This window comes from Homo sapiens, chromosome 21 (assembly GCF_000001405.40).
Source record: "Homo sapiens chromosome 21, GRCh38.p14 Primary Assembly".
In the NCBI taxonomy this organism is placed as follows: Eukaryota; Metazoa; Chordata; class Mammalia; order Primates; family Hominidae; genus Homo; species Homo sapiens.
Genome location: NC_000021.9, coordinates 46,221,077 through 46,229,112, shown reverse-complemented (window position 1 = coordinate 46,229,112; position 8,036 = coordinate 46,221,077). Strand labels below are relative to the sequence as shown.

General features: G+C 52.9%; 1 protein-coding gene across 4 annotated transcripts in view, besides 5 other annotated features; it reads left to right on the top strand.

Annotated features, from left to right (window-relative positions):
• Positions 4-298: an enhancer, noted in NCBI's record as "tiled region #3947; HepG2 Activating DNase unmatched - State 1:Tss". NCBI's record gives its function as "activates a minimal TATA promoter and a strong SV40 promoter by Sharpr-MPRA in HepG2 cells {active_cell/tissue: HepG2}" and the evidence as "EXISTENCE:reporter gene assay evidence [ECO:0000049][PMID:27701403]".
• Positions 35-294: a silencer, noted in NCBI's record as "silent region_13415". NCBI's record gives its function as "represses an Ori minimal core promoter by ATAC-STARR-seq in GM12878 lymphoblastoid cells {active_cell/tissue: GM12878}" and the evidence as "EXISTENCE:reporter gene assay evidence [ECO:0000049][PMID:35858748]".
• Positions 305-474: a silencer, noted in NCBI's record as "silent region_13414". NCBI's record gives its function as "represses an Ori minimal core promoter by ATAC-STARR-seq in GM12878 lymphoblastoid cells {active_cell/tissue: GM12878}" and the evidence as "EXISTENCE:reporter gene assay evidence [ECO:0000049][PMID:35858748]".
• The window catches only part of LSS (lanosterol synthase), a 40,329-nt gene continuing 32,631 nt past the window's right edge, over positions 339-8,036 (top strand). For 2 of the 4 annotated variants that reach the window (NM_001001438.3, NM_002340.6), the window contains exons 1-5: positions 339-381; positions 514-679; positions 1,423-1,561; positions 6,375-6,483; positions 7,138-7,259. In NM_001001438.3, coding sequence (NP_001001438.1) covers positions 368-381; positions 514-679; positions 1,423-1,561; positions 6,375-6,483; positions 7,138-7,259 — 550 coding nt within the window. In that variant the 5' untranslated portion in view covers positions 339-367. Of the gene's footprint in view, positions 680-1,422; positions 1,562-6,374; positions 6,484-7,137; positions 7,260-8,036 lie in introns of all 4 variants that reach the window. The other 2 variants (NM_001145436.2, NM_001145437.2) reach the window with 2 other exon arrangements.
• Positions 535-584: a silencer, noted in NCBI's record as "silent region_13413". NCBI's record gives its function as "represses an Ori minimal core promoter by ATAC-STARR-seq in GM12878 lymphoblastoid cells {active_cell/tissue: GM12878}" and the evidence as "EXISTENCE:reporter gene assay evidence [ECO:0000049][PMID:35858748]".
• Positions 1,015-1,084: an enhancer, noted in NCBI's record as "active region_18598". NCBI's record gives its function as "activates an Ori minimal core promoter by ATAC-STARR-seq in GM12878 lymphoblastoid cells {active_cell/tissue: GM12878}" and the evidence as "EXISTENCE:reporter gene assay evidence [ECO:0000049][PMID:35858748]".

Genomic DNA, 8,036 nt, shown 5'->3' with positions numbered 1-8,036 from the left:
CCCCACCTCCCCACCCACCAGCCCCGCCCCTCATGCCCCGCCAATAAGGCCCCACCCGCCTCCCCCGTCCCGTCGCCTTCACCCACCATCCCCGCTCCCTCAGGCCCCGCCCCACGCCGCATGGGGCACCAAGCGCTCCACCACTGTGGTCGCCTGGCACACCCCGGGGTCACGCTCGCGGCGCTCTGATTGGTTGCGTGGGCGTCGGCCCACCTAAGCCTGAGCGCCTGCCGAGGCCTGCGCCTGCGTAGTGCGCGCGGGAGGGGCGGGAGGGGCGGGAGGGGCGGGAGGGGCGGGGCTGGGCGGCAGGTCCCGGGTGCGGACATCTGGCAGCTGGCAGTGGGCGGCGTAGAGCACTGCAGCAGCAATGACGGAGGGCACGTGAGTCCCCTCGCCCCGGGCTCCTGACGAATGCGGGGTGGTCCTAGGTGCTGAGGAGAGCGCGACTGGGGCAGTGGGCCGGCGGCCGGCGTTGGGGCGGGGCCTGGGTCGCTGATGGCCGGTGGTCCTCAGGTGTCTGCGGCGCCGAGGGGGCCCCTACAAGACCGAGCCCGCCACCGACCTCGGCCGCTGGCGACTCAACTGCGAGAGGGGCCGGCAGACGTGGACCTACCTGCAGGACGAGCGCGCCGGCCGCGAGCAGACCGGCCTGGAAGCCTACGCCCTGGGGCTGGACACCGTAAGTTGCTTCCGCGGAGCGTCAGCGAGCTCGGGACCCTGAGGGGTGAGCCGTGAGGAGCACGTTTTCTCTCAGAAAGGCGGGTGGGAGGACCCGGCCAGCGACGCCCATCCCCAAGGCGAGCGCCCACGGGAACTGCGTTCGCGGGCCCCTCCGCTTCAGCCCCTTCATCTCTAAACCACGCATAGGAGACTCCTAATGTTTTATTTTTTAGCACCTTATTTTGAGATAATTTTTGACTTATAGGAGAGTTGCAAAGATAGTTGTAACTTTGTTTTTATTCACAAAAAGTGTTTGGATCCACTGTCTTAGTTGTGTGCATTGTAAGAGATTTTGGTCGTCAGAGTCTGCAGTGTAAACAGGGTCTCCTGCCGAGCCCCGGCCACCGAGGGAAAGGCTGTGCCGCCCCTTGGGCCCTCTTTGAGAGGCCCGAGTCCCAGGCCCAGGTCGGCACCCGTGCCCCACCCTACAGTCTGGGTGCCTGGTTTATTCCAGACATCTTGGAGAAGTTGTGAAGAATACATGACTGGCAAATAAAGCAACGAAAATGTGCAGCTGTTCTTTTACTTTGCTGAGGTGTGATGCTCTCATCAAAGAGTTTCAGACTTTTGATGGAAACAGCTGAAACTTTTAAAGTAATTTACATTCACTGTTTTGACTTGGGCTGTATGTGAAGAGGGTTCCTCTGGCCGGGCAACAGTCCCGTCAGCTATCTCTTTTTTTTTTTTTCGATCTCTTTGCAGAAGAATTACTTTAAGGACTTGCCCAAAGCCCACACCGCCTTTGAGGGGGCTCTGAACGGGATGACATTTTACGTGGGGCTGCAGGCTGAGGATGGGCACTGGACGGGTGATTATGGTGGCCCACTTTTCCTCCTGCCAGGTAGGAGTATGCTGCCCCAGCCTGATGGTATGGCCACCCTGGATCACCCTTGGGATCCTGGCCCAGCCTGGTCTAGGGTTTTGATGAAGCAGGTGAAAATCCAGGGGCTCACAAGAAAAGGGCTGGCAAACTCTGCCCTATGTCAGAGTCGTCCTGCTATTGGTCTAGGGGATCAGCTAGCCTTGCCAGTGTAGGGTGACAGGCTCTCTGATAAGAGAAGCAAGTGGTTCTCTAGGGCTCTGTGTTGCCTTGAGGGAGGAGGAAGGTGGGCTTTGAAGTCTCAGTACAGGATGGGATGGACATTCCAGGTGGAAGGCCCAGCCTATGCCAAGGGGCTGTAGGTGGGCAGAGTGGTGGGTGGGGAGCTGATATCTGCTGTGAACTTCCTCGGGGCTATTGCAGGAGAGCTTCAGGTTCAGGCTGGTGAGTAGGAGGAGCATAGCAGTTGGACTGCCTGGGTATTGAACTGATTTGGCTACACAAGACTATTTTGCATCCTGGGAGTGTTTCTCTACAGAAATCCTCAGCCTTGTAAAATGGGAAATTCCCTCCTATGAATTTATGCAATAGGACTTTTTTCCCTAGTGACTTGTAATCACATTGTTTCAATGACGTGAATTCCTACATAAATAGGTTTTGTTTCTGTGATAACTCTTACTGATACATCATTTTCTTTTACTACGCTGACTTTGTAATAGATAGAAAGTCCTTATATACCTTTGTTGCCTTTCTTTTTAAAACATCTCTTACCTGTGTCTATTCATTTACTCATCCAAATTGCCTTTATCCTGATTTTGTCCCAGACTTGAAATGAAGTTGCAATAGGCTTATATGTTAGTTTGGGAAGAGTTGGCCTTTAACGTTAAAAACAGTTCCATGGTGTTTACTGTAGGCCAAGCCCTGCTCAAGGCCTGTTCTTCTTTTAGTCCTTAGAATAAGCCTAATGAGATACATTAGAAAGCTGAGGCACATTTATTCCAGGTAACCAGACTAGCAGGAGGAGCACTGGGATCCCCATCTCTGCTTTGACTTCTAGCCCTGCTGCCACCTGGACTGTACAGCATTGAGTTTTTCTGTCCTGGGATTTGAGGGCCTGTCCTTAGGGGAAGTCAAGGTGCTCTTCTTCCCTTGGCCCCATCAGGGCCTGTTTAGACTGTTCTCAGGGCTCGTGGTAAGGCAATGACATAGAGTTGGTCAGGAGATGGGTCAGCCCCACTTTGCCTCTGTAGCCTGACCTGTGACAGGATTGGAATCAGGTTTGGTCATGTGCACAGTGTCAGGCATGCAGTGGTGCTTGGTCAGTGGGGATTACTGTGTTGTTTGTTCTTGCTGCTTTGGCTCTGGGCTTAGCTGGCTGGGACCCTTCCTGTGGGCTGGCTGTGAGTTGGAGTTTTTTTGTATTTTTTTTTTTTTTTTGAGACAGCGTTCGCTCTTGTTCCCCAGGCTGGAGTGCAATGGCACAATTTTGGCTCGTTGCAGCCTCTGCCTCCTGGGTCCAAGTGATTCTCCTGCCTCAGCCTCCTGTAGGGTCCAGCCCCACAGGGTCGGTAGGTTTTTCTCCCTGTGTGCGGAGATGAGAGATTGTAGAAATAAAGACACAAGACAGAGAGATGAAAGAAAAGACAGCTGGGCCCGGGGGACCACTACCACCAAGACGTGGAAACCGGTAGTGGCCCTGAATGCCAGGCTGCGCTGATATTTATTGGATACAAGACAAAGGGGCAGGGTAAGGAGTGTGAGCCATCTCCAATGATAGGTAAGGTCACATGGGTCACGTGTCCACTGGACAGTGGGCTCTTCCCTGCCTGGCAGCCGAGGCAGAGAGTGGGAGAGAGAGAGAGAGAGACAGCTTATGCCATTATTTCTGCATATCAGAGACTTTTAGTACTTTCACTAATTTTGCTACTGTTATCTAAAAGGCAGAGCCAGGTGTACAGGGTGGAACATGAAAGTGGACTAGGAGCGTGACCACTGAAGCACAGCATCACAGGGAGATGGTTAGGCCTCCGGATAACTGCGGGTGGGCCTGACTGATGTCAGGCCGTCCACAAGAGGTGGAGGAGTAGAGTCTTCTCTAAACTCCCCCGGGGAAAGGGAGATTCCCTTTCCCGGTATGCTAAGTAGCGGGTGTTTTTCCTTGACACTGACGCTACCGCTAGACCACGGTTGGGTCCGCTTGGCAACGGGCCTCTTCCCAGATGCTGGCGTTACCGCTAGACCAAGGAGCCCTCTAGTGGCCTTGTCCGGGCTTAACAGAAGGCTCTCACTCTTGTCTTCTGGTCACTTCTCACTATGTCTCTTCAGCTCCTATCTCTGTATGGCCTGGTTTTTCCTAGGTTATGATTGTAGAGCGAGGATTATTATAATATTGGAATAAAGAGTAATTGCTACAAACTAATGATTAATGATATTCATATATAATCATATGTATGATCTAGATCTAGTATAACTCTTGTTGTTTTATATATTTTATTATACTGGAACAGCTCGTGCCCTCGGTCTCTTGCCTTGGCACCAAGGTGGCTTGCCACCCACAGCCTCTCGAGTAGCTGGGATTACAGCCATGTGCCACCATGCCTGGCTAATTTTTGTATTTTTGGTAGAGACAGGTTTTCACCTTGTTGGTCAGGCTGGTCTCGAACTCCTGACCTCGTGATCCCCCACCCCCCACCCCCAGCCTCCCAAAGTGCTGGGATTACAGGCGTGAGCCACTGCACCTGGCTGAGTTGGAGCTTTTCTTCCCTCTTTTTGGACTTTGGAAAATGCTCTTGGTCCATGATGCTATGTAGACAGCTCCCATTGACTGTGGCCTGTGCGGCATTGGGCAGCACTCTGGTGAACACTGAATCGGGTCTGACCTCCTAGCCCCACCATTTACTGGCTGAGCCTCAGTTTCCTTGCCTGTAAAATCAGGAAGATGCTGGCTCTGCTCCTCTCTGCACATTTCCCCGTCCTAACAACATTATAACTGTTAGGAAAGAGACGGGCTTGTTTTGGGATGGCTCATTTTATGTGACCCTGTGCGCTGTCTCTGAGTTCATCTGCCCTTCTTCCAGGGTGTAGGGACCAGCCCCACAGGGTCGGTGGGTCTCTCCCTGTGTGCGGCGATGAGAGAGTGTAGAAATAAAGACGCAAGACAAAGAGATAAAAGACAGCTGGGCCCGGGGGACCACTGCCACCAATGCACGGAGACCAGTAGTGGCCCCGAATGTCTGGCTGTGCTGTTATTTATTGGATACAAAGCAAAAGGGGCAGGGTAAAGAGTGTGAGTCATCTCCAGTGATAGGTAAGGTCACGTGGGTCACGTGTCCACTGGACAGGGGGCCCTTCCCTGCCTGGCAGCCGAGGCAGAGAGAGGAGACACAGAGAAAGACAACTTATGCCATTATTTCTGCATATCAGAGACTTTTAGTACTTTCACTAATTGACTACTGCTATCTAGAAGGCAGAGCCAGGTGTACAGGATGGAACATGAAGGCGGACTAGGAGCGTGACCACTGAAGCACAGCATCACAGGGAGACAGGCCTCCGGATAACTGCGGGCAGGTCTGACTAATGTGAGGCCCTCCACAAGAGGTGGAGGAGCAGAGTCTTCTCTAAATTCCCCCGGGGAAAGGGAGCCTCCCTTTCCCGGTCTGCTAAGTAGCGGGTGTTGTTCCTTGACACTTTTCGCTACCGCTAGACCACCGTCCGCTCGGCAACGGGCGTCTTCCCAGACGCTGGCGTTACCACTAGACCAAGGAGCCCTTTTGCTGGCCCCGTCCGGGCATAACAGAAGGCTCGCACTCCTGTCTTCTGGTCACACCTCACTATGTCCCCTCAGCTCCTATCTCTGTATGGCCTGGTTTTTCCTAGGTTATGATTGTAGAGCGAGGATTATTATAATATTGGGATAAAGAGTAATTACTACAAACTAATGATTAATGATATTCATATATCTCTAAGATCTATATCTGGTATAACTATTCTTGTTTTATATTTTATTATACTGGAACAGCTCGTGTCCTCGGTCTCTTGCCTTGGCGCCTGGGTGGCTTGCCGCCCACACAGGGCATGTCTGGATGGTTTGAACACTAGGGCTTCTGATGCTCTAAGCCAGAGTCAGGTATTCATTCCATGGCACATGTGGCTGGGGTCTGCCCTGAGACCTGTCCCGTGCCAGGCTCTGGGGGCACATGGCTGATGGAACCAAGCATGGGGAGTGAAGGTGGAGGGTGGCCTGTGAGCACCATGCCTGAGAGGACCAGGCTGGGGACGGAAGGTTCTTAGTGGATAATATTTATTGTCTCTGCCTCCCCCCTGACATTTGCAAAGCGGCATATGCTTGTAAAAAAATTTTGAAACAGAAAAATATAAATAAATAAGTAGGTATTACCACATGCAAGGGTGACCAATTTTGTATTTTTCTTCCCAGCAGATGTTAAAGCAAGACCAACAGTCTCCCCTCATGGAAGGCCCACTGATCTAAAATGCTGGTTCCTTTTGGACCTTCAGGGCACTTGGGGGAGACCTTCCTGAGGTGCTGTGCAGTGTCTGGTGTTTCTCAGACCCTGGTGGTCATGGGAGCCAGGCGTGGCTGAGTGGGCTCTACAGGCCCTAGGCAGGGAGCATCGCCTGTGCTGTGGCTGACGTTCCTTCTGGCCCTGTTCCCAAAGTTCCCCATGGGGGCCTGGGAGGAATGGCCTTTCCAGGGGGTGTTTTTATGAGAAGGAGGTAGCTCCCTGTTGGAGTGAGGTGCTCAGGAGGAAAGGGGCCTGGTCTTAGCAGTCATGACCACCTGTCCCCAGTGAGGAACATCTCTCCTGCCACACAGGCCTCCTGATCACTTGCCACGTGGCACGCATCCCTCTGCCAGCCGGATACAGAGAAGAGATTGTGCGGTACCTGCGGTCAGTGCAGCTCCCTGACGGTGGCTGGGGCCTGTGAGTGTGCCTGCCCCTGTGTCACTGCACATGTGCATGTGTGTGTTCTCATGATGTAGGAGATGCTTGGGTTTCCAGGCAGCTGCCAGGGGTTAGGAGTGATTGCAGCTGTGGGTGTGGGGTGGGTGAGGGAGAGACTAGCAGGCGGGGAGTGGGCTGAAGGCCATGCAGGTGGGGCCTCGGCTTCACATCTTTTGTTAAATGGATTTTGTGGCTGTTAGGACACTCTTGAGACCCACATGTGAAAACTGTCAGTCTGTTATCACTTAAGGCAGAAGAAAATTGCCCTTGACTCTGGGCTGGCAGCAGGTGGAGACAAGGCCTGACAGCTTTCCTGCCATGTGGCACACACTTTGGGAGCAGAGCCATAGCCCAAAGTGGACCGCCCTTGAGCTAGAAGTGTTGACTCAGGCGTGGGAAGGTGTAGAGCAGGCGGGTCACGGTGAGGAAGGAGTGGGGGGCTCAGTTGTCATGGGAGGTGCATGAATTCGTACTGCAGAGTGGCTGCTCAGGGGTCTCCTGTGTTGGCATGTTATGTCAGGTTAAGGCATTTTAGCATTCTTAGTTTTCTGAGGAAACTCCACAGAAAGTTTTGCTTTATTTCTTAGAAGTAAGGACAGATACCGGTTTCTCACCTGTCCTCTGCTCCTGTAGGCACATTGAGGATAAGTCCACCGTGTTTGGGACTGCGCTCAACTATGTGTCTCTCAGAATTCTGGGTGTTGGGCCTGACGATCCTGACCTGGTACGAGCCCGGAACATTCTTCACAAGAAAGGTACGGCATGTGCAGCATGTGCTGGGCCAGGGGTTCGTGTCAACTCGATAATGAGCTCTCACAAACGCGATACAGAAAGATGCACTTGCAGCTGAAACAGTGGGCAAAAGCACATGAGCAGGGAATTTGTCAAAGCAGAAGTAGGCAGACACTGTTTAACCTAGGCATCATTTTTTAAAAAAGCAAATTAAGAGCCAGGCACAGTGAGTGGCTCACGCCTGCAATTCCAGCACTTTGGGAGACTGAGGTAGAAGGACCACTTCAACCTAAGAGTTCGAGGCCAGCCTGGGCAACATAGTGAGACCTGGTCTCTACAAAAACAATAAAATATTAGCCAGGTGTGATGATATGCACCTGTAGTCTCAGCTACTTGGAGGCTAGTAAGGCAGGAGGAACACTTGAGCCCAGGAGTTCTGGGTTGCAATGAGCTGGTTGTACTACCGCACTCTAGCCTGGGTGACAGAGTGCGACCCTGTCTCTAATAAAATAAAGCCAAGCAAACTAAGACAACCAGGTAATTCTGTTTGTTTCCTGAATTGGCAAAAACTTAAACGAACCGTGTTAATATGTCCACCTTCTGGGGGCAGCCTGGCTGCAGGCAAGAGCAGCCCTGGAGCTTGCACCTTCCAAGCTGATCGTCTACCTCTCCAAGCCCGGGGCTGTCCACCTCTCCAAGCCCGGGGCTGTCCACCTCTCCAAGCCCGGGGCTGTCCACCTCTCCAAGCCCCGGGCTGTCCACCTCTCCAAGCCCCGGGTTGTCTTACCTCTCCAAGCCCC